We start from the raw sequence: 20,099 nt of genomic DNA, 5'->3' as shown, positions 1-20,099 counted from the left end.
GTTGGCTCTCATGCACACAGGGCGGGAGATCCTGGCTCTCACTCTCTCTGTGTTAGCAAATATTTTTCTGAACTCCAATTTTCCTTCCTGCTCCTGCGCCAGGCCCCTCAGAGCAAAGGCGGCCACCCAGGTAGATCCCTGGGCCTGGGCCACGTGGCCCTCTCAGCTCCTCTGAGGGTATGTCTTTCCTGCCCCCAAACAGTGAACAAAACACAAATCACCCTCCCCGTGTGACATCACAAGCTGGTCTGCGATGGACCTCGTGATGATCTGAGTCTGTCCCCTCTCCCTGCTTCCTGGGTTTCCTCGGCTCAGAAAATAGCAGTTTCAGGCTGCTTTTTTCTCCTCTTAGATTTGAGTGTTTGTAATTTTTCTTCAAGCTGAATCTCAATTTACTTGGGAGCTACTTATCTTCCCTCCAGGTCTCCTCTGTCTCCCGGCCGTCCCCTTGCCCCAGCAAACAACCGCAGCGCCACCCCCTGCGTCCTCGGCAGGTTTTGCTCGTGACCTGTCTGTTGTCTTCCAGATCATTAGCTTGGATATTAAACAAAACTGGGGCCTTGCAGTGGCCCAGGAGGCCTCCCACGAGATGCCCCCGCCTGCCCGATACGCTGACATCTGCCGTTAGCCTTTGTTTATGGCTGTCCAGCCTCCCTCAGCCTGTGCCTGTGTTGATACCAGAGCCAATCTAGTCCAATTTCACACAGAACATTTCTTCAGACTCGTTTCTTCGGCCTCACCAACAGCCGCTAATTTGGTGGCACCTATGAAAATGGGCTGGGGATCCGCAGCTGTCACTTGGTCCTTGCCACTCTTCCCCCCTTTCCCCCCACCACCGCCGGGCTCCCACGGCCCCAGACGTGGTCTCTTTGGAAATGTTCCATCATCTCAGAGACTGCAGCTGTGGGATGGGGGCTTGGCTGTGAGTAGACTGGACTTGGGTTTTCTCGGGGTTTGGAGGGTGGCCCTTGTTGGCTTCTCCATGGCTGGGTGGGTGGGCAGGGGTAACAGACCAGATAGAGACTAACAGTCCAGGGCCTGGGGCCACACTGCCTGGATTGGAATTCCAGGCTACCTGCTCATTCTCTGGGCAATTTCTTTCCTTTCCTTTCCTTTTTTTTTTTTTTTTTTTTTTTTGAGACAGTGTCTCACTCTGTCACCCAGGCTGGAGTGCAGTGGTGCGACCTCGGCTCATTGCAACCTCTGCCTCCTGCTTCAGCCTCCCGAGTAGCTGGGATTACAGGTGTCCACCACCATGCCTGGCTAATTTTTATATTTTTTGGTAAAGATGGAGTTTCACCATGTTGCCCAGGCTGGTCTTGAACTCCTGACCTCAAATGATCCACCATCCTCGGCCTCCCAAAGTGCTGGAATTATAGGCATGAGCCACCATGACTAGCCTTGTCAGTTTCTCAGTAGAGTTCTTTGGGGACCATGGAGACAGACGTGGAAAGCCCTGAGCACCAGCTGGACACAGGGTGAACCCCTGGGCAGCAGCAACCCCTGCTAGTGAGGAGTCCTTGATTCTGTCCCCTTCCCCACGCTCCCCTTCGGTGGACTCTGTGCCTCCAGAAAGTCCCTCCCTTCCTAGGAATTTTGCCATCTCAAGACGTTGATAGATGTGCTGCCTTCTCAGATATTTGCTTATTTTGCCTTTTGCCAGTAAATATTTTGCCCGTCTTTTCTTCCTAGTTCATATATTTTCATTACTGACAAAGTTATTAAATTAGTTCGAGTCTTTTAAGTAGCCGTTAATTTCACATCAGCCCTAATTTGTGTACTTGATTTCCTCTCCCCACCCACTCTGGATGTGGTTACAGCTCCTCCTCCTGTCGCTCATTTGTGTTAAAATCAACACTTCCTCCCCAACAGCTCCCTGTAAGCCTTCCTGTGGGCGGCCTGGGCAGAGCTACCTCCATCAACCCTGTTTCCAGCATGGTCTGTCCCCTCCTCGGCCCTTCAAATGCTTTACGGAGCCACACGGGCACTCCTCCTCCTGCCACCGAATGGAACTGCTGTCTATTTTGCCTTATGTCCTGACGTCCCCTTCCTGTATTCATTTCTTTGGGTTCCCAGGACCTAAGCCAGTGCCCTGCCCAGAGTAAGTGCTCACTGGTGTTTGAGGGGTCAGCAGGGAGGGAGGAGTGGAGACCAGCTTGGTTTGGAAAACTTGGTCTTCTCTAGGCCTGGCTGGTAGCAGGTGTGAGACCTTGGGTAAACTGCTCTCCTGATCCTGGTCTTTGCTTCCCCGTCTGTAAAGTGGAGGAATTGCGTCTGGATGATTGCAAGTATGCTTTCCCGCTCTGACATTCTAGAATCTTCCATTTCTTTTGCTCTGTGGGCATTGATTCATCTTTCCAATGGGGCCTGTCTTCACTGTATGGTATTGGGTTTTGGTGACATTGTTGTAGTTGGAGTTCTGGGATAATGTAATTGTTGTCATTGTTGCCAACACCATTGCTGCTGCCACTGCCTTCTACCACCACCATCACCACTATCATCATCATCACCACCGTTACCATCACCACCATCATTACTATCATCATCGTCACCATCACCACCGTCATCACCATCACTGCCATTATCACCATTACCATCGCCATCACCACCACCACTACTATCATAATCACCATCACTGCCATCATCACCATTGCCACCACTATCACCACCATCACCACCATCATGACTATCATCACCATCACCACCACCACCACCACCATCACTGACATAATCACCATTACCACCACCACCGCCATCACCACCATTATCATTGTCATCATCATCATCACTACCACCACAACTACCATCATCACCACCATCACCACCACCACAACTACCATCACCACCACCATCACCACCACCACCACCACTGTCATCACCACCATTATCATTGTCATCATCATCATCACTACCACCACAACTACCATCATCACCACCATCACCACCACCACAACTACCATCATCACCACCATCACCACCACCACAACTACCATCATCACCACCATCACCACCACCACAACTACCATCATCACCACCATCACCACCACCACAACTACCATCATCACCACCATCACCACCACTACCACCACCACCATGGCCATCACTATCACCACTTCCCGAGTGCTTACCATGGGCCAGGCATTGTGCTGGGTATGTGATAGCTATCACCCATGTGATTTTTACAGTCATCCATTGGGGATATGGATACTCTTCTCCCTATTTCACAGGTGAAACATCTGAGGCACAGAGAAACTATTTGCCTTGGGTCCCACAGCTAGTGGTGGCAGATCTGATTCCAACTCAAGTCTGCCTGACACTCAAGCCTGTGTTCTGGCTGCCCTGCCCTGTGGACCCTCTTTGTTCCCCTCAGGCTGGTTTCCTTTGCTTTTTGTGACTGTACATTTTAGCTGTTCATGAGGCTGAGTTCTGTCCGTTGATGTTCTATGGTTTGGAGAAGTCTTTAGCTTCTCTAAGCCCGGGTCTTCTATTCCATAAAAGAGGGAGAGGAAACCCCACCTCATGGTGGTGTCTGAGGATTAAAAAAGTTATGCTCATCAGAACCTAACACAGAGCCTGGAATAGAATTAATATTCAAATATTGGTTTTAGAGTTATAATGATTGTATATTACATCAAAATTACTATCCACCCTGTAATTTTTCCCACAAATGTATATTGAAAACCTTCCATGTGTGAGACCCTGTGTTAGGTGCTAGACATCCAGAACTGAGCAGGACGTGGTCCCCACCTCCTAGGAGCCCAGCCTGCTGGGGAAGGCAAAGTGGAAACAGCACAGCACAATGAAGTCAGGCTCACAGCGGGGTGCGAAGCACCCACGAAGAAAGGGCCAGCAGGGCCAGGTCGGGGGTGACTGTGAGTGAAGATGGAGAGGGCCAGGTGAGGGGTGACTGTGAGTGAAGATGGAGAGGGCCAGGTGAGGGGTGACTGTGAGTGAGGATGGAGAGGGCCAGGTGAGGGGTGACTGTGAGTGAGGATGGAGAGGGCCAGGTGAGGGGTGACTGTGAGTGAGGATGGAGAGGGCCAGGTGAGGGGTGACTGTGAGTGAGGATGGAGAGGATGCACAGCCTTAAATTCACAGCCAATAAAAATGAGAGAACAAAAGTAACTCAGTTAAGCTTATGATTCAAAAAAGTTAGAAAAAGGACAAAAAATAATGCACTGAAGAAAAGTAGAAGGAAGCCATTAATGAACTAATATAATAATAATGGGCCACAAAATAGAAAAATGGGACTAGTAAATAAAAGCTGTTTTCTGGAAAAAGTTAGATGAACCACTAACAAACATAGTCAAGGTTAGAAGTCAAGAAAGCAGCCAGGCACAGTGGCTCACGCCTGTAATCCCAGCATTTTGGGAGGCCGAGGCGGGTGGATTGCCTGAGGTTGGGAATTTGAGACCAATCTGGCCAACGTGGTGAAACCCTATCTCTACTAAAAATACAAAAATTAGCCAGGATGTGGTGGTGGGTGCCTATAATCCCAGCTACTTGGGAGGCTGAGGCAGGAGAATCGCTTGCACCCAGGAGGCAGAGGTTGTGGTGAGCCAAGATCGCACCACTGCACTCCAGCCTGGGCAACAGAGAGAGAGAGAGAGAGACTCTGTCTCAAAAACGAAAACAAACAAACAAAAAAACCCCAAGAAAACCCAAGGAACACATAATGAGGAATAATAAGGGAGAAATATAATTTACCAAACTGATCAATTTGTATGGAAGATAGAAAGTTTCTAAGCTACTCTCACACAAAGCTTGTGGTCTGAATGGTTCCACAGGGGAATTTGAACAAAACCTTTAAAGAGCAGGTGCTTCCAATGCTAATTAAAGTGTTCCACAGCAAAGATAAAGAAGAAAAAGTCTAAGTAATTTTCCTAAAGTGAGAATAAAATTTTTTTTACCTGACAAATATTGTACAAAAATAAAACTACAGGCCAGTCTCACTTATAAATATCAATGCAAAAATTTAAATAACAGATTACCAAATAGGATCCAAGCATCATCTTAAAATAATAATACCCTGTGTTTACTTGGAGTTTATTCTAGCAATGCAAGAATGGTTTAATAGGAAGAAATCTGTTTATATAATGCATCATATTAATATAAAGAGAATTAACACACGATTATCTTTTTTAACACTGAAAAAGCATTAACAAAATTCAGCATCCATTCTTGATAAACATTCAGCAAAACATAAATTGATACTTTCTTAACGTGACTGTAATCATATTCAAAACTCATTTTTTTCTTAATGTGGAAACACTGAAGTTAAGAAAAAAGCAAGGATGCCTACTCTTGCTACTACTATTTCATATTGTAGCAGAAGCATTAGCCAATGCAATCAGACAAGAAAAGAAATGAGAAGAATAAATATTGGAAAGGAGGGGCTAAAAGTATTACCCTTTTTTAGATGATATAATTGTATACTTGGAAAATCCTAGAGAATCCATGAAAAACTACTACAACCAACAAGGTAATCCTATGTATGCATGTATGCATGTCCATATGTATATATGTATCTGTCTTACAACAGTAATATAATGGGAGAAAAGGCCCCTATTTATGATAACAAAAATAAAATATCTAGGAATAAACTTAACAAGAAATGTGCAAAATGCATGTGCAAAAAACTTAAGAATCCTGAAGAACATTTTTTACACCTCGATAAACTCCAAATGGAGCCAAGCCTTAAAGTCAGCAAATATTTCTTGAATTACAATGGAATCATTATAATTCAAGAAATATTTGCTGACTTGAGCGCTTTCCATACACCAGGCCCTGTTCAGGCCCTGGTGATACAACAGTGAACAAAACAGATAGAAATTCCTTCCCCACTGGAGCTTGCATTCTAGGTGGGAAACGAATAAGAAAATTGTGTTGTAACTTAGATAATGATATTCTTATGGCAAATTATGCTGCTGGGAGAGGAGTCAGGGTGAGGTTGCAGTGTGAAGAGTGGGGGCCATGAAAGGCTTTGCTGATGTGTGATGTTTAAGCCATTATTTTAAGTCATTTATTGTTTAACTTTTCATGTGTTTATTTTGCAACCTAAACTAGCTCAGAAGCTCCCTGCATTTTCCATAGCATACAGGCCTATAGTAAGGTTTCAATACATTAATTTGTTTAAATTATCAAATTTTGAAGATTTGAATTTTTCTTTTACTATGCCATATTCTCTGTATTTAATCTTGGTCTTCTAGGGTCTTTCCATTCTGCTACCCACAAAACCTTGTTTTTCTGGAATGGAAAGCCTCCAAAACTCTTATTGTTCAAAATATTGTCCTTGGACCAACGTCAGCATCATGTAAGGGCTTATTAGAAATACAAATGTTTGAGTCCTCCCCTATGCCTACTGAATTTTAGGATCTGCATTTTAAACAAAATTTTTGGGTGCTTTGTATGCATATTATATTAGTCCATTTGCATTGCTCTAAAGGAATACTCGAGGCTGAGTAATTTATAAAGAACAGAGGTTTATTTGGCCATGAGCAGGCTGTACATGAAGCGTAGTGTTGGCATCTGTTTCTAGTGAGGGCTGCAAGAAGCTTACAATCACAGCGGAAGGTGAAGGGGAGCCAGAGTGTCACATGGTGAGAGAGGAAGCAAGACCATGAGGAGAAAGTTCCAGGCTCTTTTAAACAGCCACATCTCATGTGAACTCACAGAGCAAGAACTCACTTGTTACCAGGAGGTTGGCACCAAGCCATTCATGAGGGATCCGCCCCCATGACCCAAATGGAGGATGGCACCAAGACGTTCATGAGGGATCCACCTACCTATCTATCCACCTTCCATCTGCCCATCCATCCACCCACCCACCCGTCCATCCATCCACCCATCCACCTACCCGTCCATCCACCCACCCGTCCATCCACCCATCTTTTCATCCATCTACCTATTCAACCAGGCATCCATCCACCGACCCATCTATCCACCCATCCATCCACTTATTCCACCAGGCCCCACCTCCAACATTGGGGATTGCATTTCAACATGAGATTTGGAGGGGACAAATATCCAAATTATACTACATGTTAAAGTTGAAAAGCATTTTCCTAGCCCCTGGCTTTGCAAGTTCCCTTCTTGTTCAGCAGAAACCAGGGGCTGGGGGAGAGGGGAATCGCCCTGCTCATGTTGGTGTCAGCTTCTCACAGAGTCATCTCTTCTAACTGGCCTTGCATAGCCTGGATTCCCAAGGGCCTCCCAGGAAGTACCAGCAAGGTGTGTTGAAAAACTCTAGAACTGTTCTGTTCAATGCAGCAACTACTAGTTGCATGCGACTATTTAAATAAAATTTCTTTTGTTCAGATATACTAGTTACATTTCAAGTGTTCAGTAGCCACATGGGGCTAGCGGCTACCACACTGGACAGTGCAGGTATAAAGCATTCTTGTCCTCACAGAAAGTTCTATTGGATGGCACTGATGTAGAATATACCAAGTCCTAGATTTTGAGAATTTTTGAATTGCAAAGTCAAATTATTTCTGTCCATTTGCTTCCATTTATTTCAACAGAGTATCATCCAGCTGTCTGTCCATAAATCAACCCACTCACTGACCATCCATCCATCCACCCACCCACGCATTCATCCACACAGCCACCTATCCGCTTATCCATTCTTCCATCCACTCATCCATCCTTCCATCCACTCATCCATCTACCCATCCACCTACCTATCCATCCGTCTTTTAATCCATCTATTCTTCCATCTGCCCACCCATCTATCCACCCATCATCTGTCCACTCATCCATCTATTCATCCACTTAGTCATTTTGTCATTCCGTCATTCCGTAAATGATTATAGCATGTAGTGGTACTTTGAAAAATACTTATTAAATAAACCATAGAATGGTCTATGTGTCCTCCATCCCAGGCTTGGGTACTAGACGTGTGTGTGTGATGTACTTCCTTACCATGAGCTTGTGGACCTGCATCTGGACTTTCTCCCTGATGTCTGGGCCCCCTTTTACTGTACCAGTTTAGCCTTCCTTGCACCGTAATCTCTCAATTCCATGATTTCTCCTGCCTGAGCTGGTTAATACACTGGCTCCCATGGAACAGGTCTGGCTTCATGGAGCTGCCCCTTTTACATCAAAGCTACATAAGCTTTGAGGGTGATGCCCCTGGGAGCTGGGATGCCCTCGGGCCCTCTTGTTTCCCTGGGCTCAGTGCTCTTTTTCCCCAAGTCCCTGTGTTCCTGCCTGACCTCTCCTATTTGTGTTCAGGTTCACAGGCCTGACAGGGCCCTGGCTGGGGAAGTTGTCCCGGTGTAGACCTCAGAAAATGGAGGAAGATGGTCCCAACAGGGAGCAATTGACTCAGGGATGCGTGAGAGCTCTGGATGGTGCCCGGCACGGCTGGTCAGCATGCCCACGTCCTGCCCTACAAGTTAGCTGTCCACGTTTTTTTTTGGTGTGTGTGGTCTTCCCAGAACATGAAGGTTTTTTAGGTAAACTGCTTCATCCATCATATCACTAAAGCCTGGAGTTTTCTCACTTTTTATGACGATTCGACATTCTTGATTGAACGTTAGCTCTGACCAGGCTGAGGCCTGTGACCACAGCTGCTGAGCCCTCTCCATTGTGATATTTGGCCCCATGGTGACAGTCAGATTCCTTTCCCAGAGGGACAGGGCATGAGGCTCACACTGGGGAGCAGCACCTGCTGTGCCTTCCTTTGTCTCCTTCCCCAGTGCCCACAGGAAGGCCTCAGGCCTGCCCCACTGAGGGCCCCCATCATCCTGGGTGTCCCCAGAGCCCCGCTTTGGGTGGGAGGCTGGAATCACCACCCCACTTTGACACAGACACAAATCATTGTTATGATCCTTAAAGATGTTTTTGGTTCTCTAACCCTGGTATCAGATTCACTTGCTCTCACGTCTCTGCAGAAACATTAGCTTTGCCGCCTCAAAGCTGCAGTTGGCTCTAATTACTATGGAGCTGCATCCCTCTCCCTGTCTCTAGTGGAAAAAGGGAGGCCATCTGCTCATTCCTGGGGTTGTGCCGGACGGATGAGCCCCAGAGGAGTGGGCTGGGACCAGCCAGGGGGCGGAGCTTCTCTGCTGTAGGCTCCTACCTGCAGGCTGAGCCCCGCCAACCTCCCTTAGGACTTCAAAGTAAGGCCAGCTTGTGCCTGGCAGAGCCCAGAGAGACTCATGAAAATCTTGAGGCTGTGTGGCTGTCACTTGCTGGCAAGGCTTTCCCTAGCCTTCCTGGAAGGGCAGACAAAGCCTGGCCTGGTTATAACTGGTGTTTGCTCTGCCCTGGGGACAAGGGACCTTGGTCAGTGCATCTGCCCATCCCGAGCCTCAGTTTCTTCATCTGCAAACTAGTGACCACAATTCCACCACCTCACAGCCTGGAGAAGAGGAAGGCATGAGATTATGCCAGCAAAGTGCCTTACAGTCAATATGGATTTGTTACTGCAACAATTACCATGGTATCTAGCGAGGGAGTGATGGCACTTGCTAGCTTGCAGGCTTTTTATGAGGATAAAATAAAATGCCACAAGGTAGCTGTCATATATTCATTCTGCAGGTATTTTTCGAGCACTTGTATGCCGGGTCCTGAAGCAGGCACTGGGGCTACAGCAGTACATGCAACGCATGCCCAAGGACACGCACACCCCTGTAGAGATGGTAGCAGGCTGTTCTCCACTTAGTGAGTGTCTTGTGGCAGTGGGCTGCATTGCCTGGACAGGCTGGAATGTCCCCTGATTTACAGCTGGAGAAACTGAGGCCTGAGCTGGGCCCCTCTCCAGCATCTGATGCTGCCTCAAGAGCTGCACTTCTCGGACCTCCTGAGACAGCCTCTTAGTTCATACCACCATCCTGGGCACAGCTGCGCTTCCTGCAGAAATAAAGTGCACAGGCTTTGGGGGTGGTGGCAGCCGTGCCACGGGGCTGCCAGGCCCTTTGGAGAAGATGGGGGCTGCTGTCCTCCCCACAGGCAGGACGCTGACTTGGACCTCCGAGCCTCGGGAGTCACAGATGCAAGCCAGCCCTTCTGTTCCAGGAGCACATGGGTGAGGTGGGGGTGTGTCCAGAGAGGGCAGCCTCAGGCCCGAGACCCCAGTGCTCTGGTGGCCTCTGAAACTCTGCTGTGAGCCAGGCTGGGCCCTCCTGGGTGGACTCCGGGAGCGGAGCAGGAGCTGGGGGCACCAGGAGCTGTGCCCGCCCCTACCTGCCGCCCTTTCTTTAAGGGAGGCACAGCCCGTGCCGCACTGGGCGAGGTTCCCAGGTAGAAGACACTAGACCTGAGTGGAAACTCTGCCTGGGAACTTGATTTTTCCATAATATTTGAGGAAATGGGTGGAGACAGGAAAAGAAATGTTCAGAGTAGTCCAGGATAGGGTGAGGAGGGAAGCTGGTCCTCTCCCAGGAGGTCAGGGGATGGCCAGCCCTCGGCAGGGCCTCCATCAGATGAACCCACTGGCTGCTCAGCCCACTGAAGGGCTGGAGGTCCGAGTCCTTCACTGGGGTGCCGGGATGTTGGCTAAGGCTGTGAATCGGTGTGGGTGCGAGTACAGCCCAGGTACCCAACCCAAGCCTTGTCCAGGGAGAGGGGCTGTGGTGTGGCCCCTGCCTGCTGCCCCCTAAAGTCCCGCGTCCTCCCCCAGCCTGCTCCACTGGTCTCCGCAGGTGCTGGACGGCAGCCCCTGGACTGGGTGTGGTACATGCTGTGGTCTCTTCTCCCCAGTGGATGTTCCCCGAAAGTGAAGCACACACAATTCTCATGTGTGCTGGGGGTGTGTGTTTGTTTGGGTGAGTGGACTCAGCTCCAGTTCTGAGGAGAGAGGGTTCAGGAGGGCTTGTCTGGGGATTTGGCTCCTGAAGTTCCTATTCTTGGTCTCTTTGTCCCTTCCACAAGCAACAGTTTTTTTGTTTTTGTTTTTGTTTCGAGATGGAGTCTTGCTCAGTCACCCAGGCTGGAGTGCTGTGGTGCAATCTTGGCTCACTGCAACCTCCGCCTCTGGGATTCAAGCAATTCTCCTGCCTCGGCCTCCCGAGTAGCTGGGATTACAGGCGTGCGCCACCATGCCACCACGCCTGGCTAATTTTTGTAGTTTTAGTAGAGACGGAGTTTCACCGTGTTGGTCAGGCTGGTCTCAAACTCTTGACCTCGTGATCCACCTGCCTCGGCCTCCAAAAGTGGCGTGAGTGATTTTTTAATAGAAAAGTGAACGCTTGGGAGTTGGCTTGAAAGATGCTTTTATCTCTGAACCCCAGGGCAGACTCAGGTGCCCCAAGGTAATTGTTCACCTGCCAGGCTCCCTAGGGCTCCTTGTCCAGCCCTGGATGGAAGGGTCAGGCTCAGACCCACCTTCCCTTTTCGTCCCTGAGCAGAGCCCCTGCTGAGTAGTGGGTCTAAAGAATGAGGAAGGGACTGGGGTGCACTGGCTCACACCTGTAATCCCAGCACTTTGGGAGGCTGAGGCGGGTGGATCACCTGAAGTTGGGAGCTTGAGACCAGCCTGACCAACATGGAGAAACCCCGCCTCTACTAAAAATACAAAAATTAGCCGGGTGTGGTGGTGTATAACTGTAATCCCAGCTACTCGGGAGGCTAAGGCAGGAGAATCACTTCAACCTGGGAGTCGGAGGTTGCAGTGAGCAGAGATAGCACCACTGCACTCCAGCCTGGGCAACAGGGTGAGACCGTGTCTCAAAAAAAAAAAAAAAAAATAGAATGAGGAAGGTACTGCTGGGAATGCCGGCGGATGGGAATGGGAGGGAACCAAGCCATGTGCTGCTTCTGGTGCAGCTGGGAAGCCGTCAGATGGATGGGCGTGGAGCGGGCTACAGACAGGCCATTGGGAAGCCGTCAGATGGATGGGCATGGAGGGGGCTACAGACAAGCCATCGATCAACCCTGTTTAGGGAGTCGTCTTGCTCTTTGGGGTGCTGGAAATCAAGGGCTTAGAGCAGATAGGGCTCTGTGCTTATTCAGAGCCACACTTCAGCAGTGGGGCACTGGTGATGACGTTCATCTGATGGCCGTTTGTGTGGATGAAAAGGGAGACTGTCTGTAGACACTTGGCTGGTGCTCCATAAACCTGTGCTTCCTTTCTGGGGTGTCAAGCTGGATCCTCTGTGTTGGTGGGAGAGCGTCCTGGGGTTTGGGCTCTCGGCTGAGGTCCTGAATGGGTCTACATGGTTGTCGTTCATCAGTGGTGGCAGGTGGAATATAGATCAGGGAGATGGAAAACTACTGGGGTCCAGACTGTGGCTATGACCTTTCTGGATCTACCTATAGCCATTGAAGATTATTTGCTTTAAATTTGTCATTATGCAAATCTGCGAGAGGTATCCACATATCTGAGATTTGTCCAAGTGGTAGCATGATGGCTTGTGCAGTAGTATACATGCATGTATGTGCACACACACGTGCACACGCACACACGTGCACACACACACAGTCTTTCCAATTAGCTATATAGGAATGATCAAAGGAGAACCTTCCATGCCCCATGAGAACTGCCAAAGAAATGGAGTGAGCCGAGTGAGCTGGCGGGGTTGAGTGTGCACGGGTGTGTCTGAGTGTGCATGTCTGGAACCGTCCTGGTGGCTGTGAGAACCTGGAGCAGGGTGGTGAAGGCTCAGGACAGCTGGGAACACACTGTTAAGGGGAACTGCAGTCTCAGCTGGGAGGCGGAATTGGATAACAGGAGGTGGGTTGGACAGCGTCCCCTGGGGAAAGAAGTAAGGCCTCCCCTCTTGTTTTCTTGGAAGTGTTTGGAAGGGAAGGCAGACATTGAACCAATCGGCTGCCTGGAAGGAAGCGACCTGGGAAGCCTGGGACACCAAGTCAGGCCTGGGAGACCTCCGCTCCCTCTGGGCCCCTGGAGGCTGAGTGTTGCCAAGGTGGCCGAAGTGGGGAGAGGCCAGGCAGGGGCAAGGGCAGAGGGCATGGGGTGGTCGCCGGTGGGACCCTGTGGCCGGCTCCTCAGCCAGGCTGTTTTCTCTTCTTCCCCATGTTGCTGTGGAGCCTTCCAATCAGGCTAATCCTGGCCTCTTGATCCAAAACCCAAACACGGCTGGCCCCTTCCTTCTTTCCTGGTAGACGTGCTCCTCTAGCAGGGGCGAGGGAGAGGGCGGGAATGGGGACCCTCGACGCCCTTCCCAGAGCGGGATTCTGATACCTTCTCTTAGCGTGCATGCAAGCACAAGGATCTACGTGGACTTCTTTCTTTTTACAAAATAAGCCATATCAAAGATGCTCTCAGCAATGAAGATGAAAAGGTAGAGCGGCCCCGTCTGCCCCCTTCCTGTGCTCCTTCCCCCCAGGATTCATTCTTGTTTTTCTAGAACAAGAAGGAAAGAGTTTTATTTGTAGGAGCGAGCTTTCTCTTTCTTTCTCTTTTTTTTTTTTTTTTTTTGCCCTTAATGATGTGGTGGGTGGTGGTGGTAGCATGTTTTTATTTTATGTTATTTTTTATCCCTTGCTGCTTTGGGGAGGGTGGCGGTGTTTGAGTTTGGGGTGCGGGTGTTGGGGAGGGAGTTCTCTTGGAGAGGAGTGAGGACAGCAGATGTTACTCCCCCATGTCTAGAAGGTGGGGGGAGGGCGGTGCTGCTCAGGAGGTGAGGAAGGACCCGAGTTATGTAAGAGCTTCGAGGAGGCGGCTCCAGGGACTAGACAGAGCCTGAGGATGCAGGCTTGCTCCCTGAGCCCTGGGGAAGGCAGCCAGGTGTGTCTGCAGGGAGCCTGGTGGTTGTGGTGGGGCAGGTGTGGTGGGGCAGGTGGATGGCAGGTGTCAGGGTTGGCAGGGCAGGGAGGTATGGAGGGTCGGGGTACTCCGACGGGAGGAGTGGACTTCTCCAAGCCTTGATGGGGGCTCCTGATCCTTCTGCGCTTTGTTTCTCTTCTCTCCTCTTCATTCTGTGCTTCTCTGTCACCTCCTTCTCCAAATCAGTGCCCCAGCGACTGGGGAGACAGCTTCCCAGTTTTCTGTATTTCCTCGATGCCTCCTTCCACCAACACCAGCAATCACCGTGTTGAATAGAGTCAGCCCACAGCGAGTGCCCAACGTGCCAGCGCGCCTGAGCTCATGGCATCCTTGGGGGCTGATTCTGGTACTTTTCCGTTGTATAGATCTCAGGGTTTCTTCCACAAGGCTGGAAGAAAACACACACAAGTGATACTGAGACAGTGACCGGCCAGTGTCAGTCCAGGGACCACACCAACCAGCCCTCTGGGCTCAGTTTCCTCTCTTGCAACACAGAAGTGCCTGACTCATAGGGTCACTGTGAGGATGGCAGCAGGACTATCTGTGGGCCTTACCTCCTCCTTAGCACAGGGGAAAGGAGCTCTCAATGCCCAGGGACGGGCTGAGGGTTGTTTAAGCCCCTCTGTTCCTAGGCACGAGTTTCCCTTACTTGGTGGTATGGCTGCTCTGACTTCCCCTCTCTCAGGCTGCTTGTGGGCACCCTGGCTCTGGGGGGTAGGGGGCTCACCCTGCATCCCACCCTTGCCCCATTCGGCCCACCCTGCATCCCACCCTTGCCCCATTCGGCCCACCCTGGCTGTGTCTTTCCTGGTTGACCAGTAGCTCTGAATTATTGCTGGACGGTAGCCAAGAATCACACGGTGCTGTGGAATTCAAACTCCATCCGCACTAATGAGTTAATGGGCTTTGTACCTAAGACCGCGGGGTTGGAACGTGCCCAGCATGCTTCATCTTCGCCGCGTGTTTCATCTACCTCGCTCGCTGTTTGTTTATCAGCTTGTTTGTTTATTCCTTTTCCTCGGAGGCCCTGATCAAGGAGGAGCTGATGAAGGGGGGAGTGTGAAGTTGGCAGGAAGGCCTTGGTTTCGCTCTGTGCCGAGTAGCTGAGTAGCCGAAGCCTGCCCCACGAGAGACGTAGGGGTGTTGAGTACCTGTTTGGTTCCAAGGGGGTCCTGCTTGTCAGGAGGGGAAATTCTACCCTCAGAGGGTGATGAACATTGGCATTTCAGGCGTCCTTTCACTGTGCACCACTGATGCAATTCTGGGCGGCCCTATCTGAGCCTCCGTTTATCAGGGAGTCACAGTGAAGGCAGCATTGGCCTCGCAGAGCTCTGAAGATGTAGCAAACTCGCACCTGTAACGTCCTTTGCTCCTGGCACAGAGAAGATGCTCAGTAAGGCGTGGAGGAGGTGATTTTCTGCTGGTCTCCTGGTGGTTTTGGAAAATCACTCATTACTTGCAAAGATACGGTTCTGAGTGTTGGACATATTCCCCTTTACCGTTCAGCTGCCGTATGCCGGGTTACATGTGGCCAAATGGTTGTCTTTTAGGCTTGGGGTTGTGGTTGTGAGGGAGGCAGCTGTGATATATAGGGGTCTGTGCCTGCCTGGACCTGGATGGCAGCCACCGGCCACGGGAGAGAGCTGGGCAGTTGACGTGTGTAGAGTGAAAAGTGTACGCCAACTCCAAGACCCAGCACATGGACAAAGCATGTAAAACACGTGACTGATAATCCCTTATACAATTTACATATTGACCCAAAAATATTTAGAATATATTAGGTTAAATAAAATATGTGATTACAATTAATTTCTTTTGTTTTGTAAAAAAAAATCCTTTTATTTTGAGATGGAGTCCCGCTCTGTTGCCCAGGCTGGAGTGCAGTGGTGTGATCTCATCTCACTGCAGCCTCCGCCGCCTGGGTTCAAGCGATTCTCTTGCCTCAGCCTCCGAGTAGCTGGAATTACAGATATGCACCACTATGCCCAGCTAATTTTTGTATTTTTAGTAGAGACGGGGTTTTGCCATGTTGGCCAGGCTGATCTCGAACTCCTGATCTCAGGTGATCCACCTGCCTTGGCCTCCCAGAGTGCTGGGATTACAGGCGTCAGCCACCTAGAAAACTGAAAATTGCCCGTGGGACTGCCATGCTATTTCTATCAGACAGACTGGTCTAAGCCCAGCTTCTTCGCTGATTCATTGGGATCCCTCCTAATCTCTTCCTGATTTCCTCATCTAGGGACTAGGGAGCCGCCCCACTAGCGCTCACACTGCATAGTTTCGTTACCTTCTCCTTGGCCCTTGCTGACAGCATTGGGGAGCCCCTTGTGAGTCTGCAGAGGGCAGCCAGGGAGGGTGAAGCCGCTGCCTTTTGGGAGAGACCCCTGAGCTGTCTGAATTCGAGTCTGCCCCAGTTAGACACCGCCAGGGTTTTCAGGAAACAATTTCCAGCTTTGTAAATATCCATTGAAAAAATAAAAAGGAATCTATTATTTTGTCAACCTTCACAACAACCTGAACTTATAAAACGCCTCTCACATAGAGGTCTCGGAGTGTTGCACGATAAACAATACATGAAAAAAAAAAAAGGTCGACGCTCTCAAGGTGTTTAAAGGCAGCAGAGAACATGGTTTTGTTCTGTAAAAAGAAACACTCGAGGGAAGGCCCCGGCAGCCAGTGCGTGGGGACCCTGGAGGAGCCCCGTGCTCCGTGGCCCACCTGGTGACATCGGCAGGAGGTGTCACTCTGCCCTCGAAACTGGTGCCATCAAACGTGAGGGCCCTGAGACAAGCAAAAGAGAGAACCAAGAGGGACTCTGTCAGTGAGATGAAGAAAGGTTACTGATCAGCACGGAAAGGGCTGAGACAAAGCCAGAGTTTCCACTGAAATCCTGCTCCGGGGTGAGCGGTCTCTTGCCAGGAGCCGGGGTGGGCCTGAAGAACTGACTTGAGGCCTAGCGGTTTGATGGTAACAGTGTAACTGACCAGGGTGCAGAGAGAGCCTTGGTGGATTTGCCATCACATGGGCTCGTGTGTCAAGGGGAGAAGCCGTGTCCCTTCCGCTGTTCTTGGCTTTAGGTCCCTGGAGTGCTGAGGACAGAGCTGCTTCCTCCGGAGGGACAGGCGGACCCGCTGCCGGCCACAGACTCCAGGCGCCTCTAGTACTTTGTACACCAAGTATGGTGGTACATTGTAAGCTTCTCTTATTTTTATTTTCTCATTTTTGACATTGTCCTTCAGCTCCTCTTCCACGCTCCCTGTTAAGCTGTTATATCACTCCATTTATTTAGTGTGAGTGTTTCTGAGAGCTCATTTTTATCTTGGTGAAAACCAGGCTTGCTCATGGGCACATAATGAAATTGCATAAATATACCCTTAGCTTGGAATCTAATTTATTTTTCCTGTTCATTATGGGGTAGAAGGCCATTATGAAATGTATAGCTTTTTTTTTTTCCAGTGCTGGAATTGAAAGGCTGTGGCTTGGGCTCTTTTTATTCTGATGATTTTGTCCTGATTCAATTTAAAGCTGGTTAGAGCTCAAATACTGGAGCGTAATTGACAAAGATCAGTGTGGGTTGTAACGCTAATGTCTCGTCTGTGGCTGCTGAGGCTCGACAAGCACTCGGGTTAAGCAGCAGTTCCTCGGAGGATACTTGGGCCTGCAGATCCCCCCAGGCCTCAAGAAGAGGGGCGAGAAGGAACTTTCTTGCAGCTAGTGGCCCCGTGTCTCTGGCTGAGATGCTCTGAAGTGTCCGGTTGAAGTAGAACTGGTACTAAATGGATTAGGACAGCTGAGGACACCACTGACCCTAAACTCTCAGAAATGCTTAGAAACCCCTTCAAGAATATTTCATCGACCTCCACTTTTACAGATGGGGGCACTGAAGCTCCAGGAGGTCGAGCAACCCACAACCTGGCGGAGGCCACACCGGCTCCAGGCCCGAGTGTAGCTCCCCGCTCTCAGCCCACGTCTGTGCACCACGGCGGTATGTGAATGACATGGAGTCTGCTTTTGGAAGCAGGGCCCGGGCCCTTCTGTGTGGAGGAGTGTGCATTGCGTGGGAGGAGAGAACAGCAGGAGCACCTGGCAGTGGGAGGACCATCCAGGATGCTGGCCTTGGCACAGATGTGGGGCAGCCCTGCCTGACACGCTGAGGAGGATTCTGGGGCTGGGGCCTGGACGCCATGCACCTTAAGGAGGTGGATGCCAGCCCCTCCACTGTGTGCCGGGGCCTCCGCCGTTCATTTGTCTCCCTGCATTTGCCGACTCCCTTCCGTGCACCGGGCACTGTCAGGCTGGAACACAGCATTGGAGAGTCCCGGACCCTGCTCTAGAGACTCAGGTCTCTCAGCAGGATGAGTTTGAAGTGACATCCTGGCTCTCAGATCGGAGCCACGCTGAATATCAGCATCTGCTGAAATGCTCACTCCGAGTCAGAATGTTCTTGGAGGGTGACGAATGGTCAGCACCTGTGAGTGTGTGTGCATGCGTGTGATTACCGGGAGAAAGAAATATCACCCTGGACACAGCAGGTTTTCATGAGGAAGGAGAGGAAACGGATCCATTAAAATGGCAGAGATTTGTGAAGCTGTTTCTTCCTTTTCCTCCTGCTGTCCCCAGGGTTGCCAGATAAGACACAGGACATGCAATGAAATCCGGATTTCAGATGAATGACAAAGGTTTTTTTGTATAGGTATGTGTTACACATCGCGTGGGACCTACTTACACTAAAAACCCAAACAAAACCGTGTTCATCTGAGATTCAAAGTTAACCATGCGCCATGTTCTTATTCCCTAAATCTAGGACCCTACCTGTAATAGCATAGAGAGTTGAAAGGCTTTACTTTGAAATGACGTTCTTAGTCATTTAAAAATTCAGTTGCATGAGCTATAAAAATATTTGCTTCTTTGTTCTTACAACACAGAAGTGTATAAAGTGAAATGAATAGTCTGGGACCTCCTTCCCCAAATCCAACTCTCCTGGGGCGACCTCTGACCTCCAACTGTTAACCACTGTTAGCAATGGGAAATGTCTCCTCCCAAACCAATGCACAGACACCACCATGCACTATGTGTTTTCCTGGCACTCGTAGCTTTCCTGGAGAAAACCCCAACAGTAGACTTATTGGGGCAAAGGTTATGTGTATCTTAAATTTTAACTTAAAACTACACCTGGGTTACTTTATAAAAAGTCAAAAGTATTGACAGATGCCTCCACACTATGTGATTATTTTATTCCCACACCAACATCAGTTATTATTTTTATTTTTATCTTTGAGACAAGGTCTCACTCTGTTGCCCATGCTTGGGTGCAGTGGTACGATCATGGCTCACTGCAGCCGTGACCCCCTGGGCTCAAGTGATCTTCCCACCTCAGCCTCCCAAGTAGCTGGGACTACAGGTATGTGCCACCATGCCCTGCTAATTTTTCTATTTTTTGTAGAAACAGGTTTTTGCTATGTTGCCCAGGCTGGTCTCGGACTCCTGAGCTCAAGCAATCCTCCTGCCTCAGCCTCCCAAAGTGCTGGGGTTACAGGCATGAGCCACCACACCTGACCACGTATTAGTCCTTATTTTTCAGTCTAAGCATATAAAACATCTCAGCATTTTAATTGCATTTCCCCAACTTGAGGAAGGTGGAGTATTTTTCGTGTGTTTACTGGTTGTTTGCATGCGTATTTATGTGAACAGCCTGTTCTCATGCTTTGTCCGTGTTTCCATGGGGTGGTTTTCTTATTAATTTCAGGGCACTCTTTACATATGGGCCATACCCATGCTTTGACTTTACATACAGTGTTGAGGTTGCTTCTGGGCCAGTGTGATCAGACCCTCCCCTGATCTCTGGGACTTAGACCTGAGCTCACAATGGTGGCCTCCTGGGTCTCCTGGGAATAACAGACATCCAGCCCCCACATGGGCACCTGTTTCCTGCCGATCTCATCCTGATTCTTGGGTCTGAAGGAACCACACAGTGGTTGAGTTCCTCCGTGAATGTGTCACTGCCCTACTGCTGCCCTAAAGGCAGGGGCTGGCGAGGATGATTCTCAAAGCCCACCCGCCTTTACTGTCCTGCTCTTACTGTGCCTAGGGAAAGCTCAGCTCCAGAGCAGGGAACCAGGCCTTGGCAGGGAGGTGGCATCGAGGCTTCCTGCCCTGACTGTGGTTGTCCCTGCCTCCCGCAAGGCCAAACTTGCCCTTCACTCCAGGGCGGTGCCTCATGGACTGCAAGGTGGGAGGAAAGGGGCATAGAAGGGAAAACTCCAGCTCTCTCTCTCCACTGTAGCCAGATCACCTGTGCATTCATTCATTTATTCCTCCATTCATCCCACTGGCTTAGTTAAGTTCCTGCTGTGTGCCAGGCACA

General features: G+C 49.8%; 1 protein-coding gene across 44 annotated transcripts in view, besides 1 other annotated feature; it reads left to right on the top strand.

Annotated features, from left to right (window-relative positions):
• Positions 1-20,099, top strand: part of RBFOX3 (RNA binding fox-1 homolog 3) — a 576,227-nt gene that overhangs the window by 107,209 nt on the left and 448,919 nt on the right. For 2 of the 44 annotated variants that reach the window (NM_001385841.1, NM_001385817.1), the window contains exon 1: positions 1,879-2,101. The exons of the other annotated variants lie outside the window; for them this stretch is intronic. The gene's annotated coding sequence lies outside the window, so the exon portion shown is untranslated. Of the gene's footprint in view, positions 1-1,878; positions 2,102-20,099 lie in introns of those variants that run through there. 44 annotated transcript variants of the gene reach the window in all.
• Positions 9,415-9,914: an enhancer, noted in NCBI's record as "H3K4me1 hESC enhancer chr17:77544533-77545032 (GRCh37/hg19 assembly coordinates)". NCBI's record gives its function as "activates a minimal SCP1, AML or CMV promoter by ChIP-STARR-seq in naive H9 embryonic stem cells {active_cell/tissue: H9 hESC(naive)}" and the evidence as "EXISTENCE:reporter gene assay evidence [ECO:0000049][PMID:30033119]".

This window comes from Homo sapiens, chromosome 17 (genome assembly GCF_000001405.40).
Source record: "Homo sapiens chromosome 17, GRCh38.p14 Primary Assembly".
In the NCBI taxonomy this organism is placed as follows: domain Eukaryota; kingdom Metazoa; phylum Chordata; class Mammalia; order Primates; family Hominidae; genus Homo; species Homo sapiens.
This window is presented reverse-complemented; position numbering and strand designations above follow the sequence as displayed.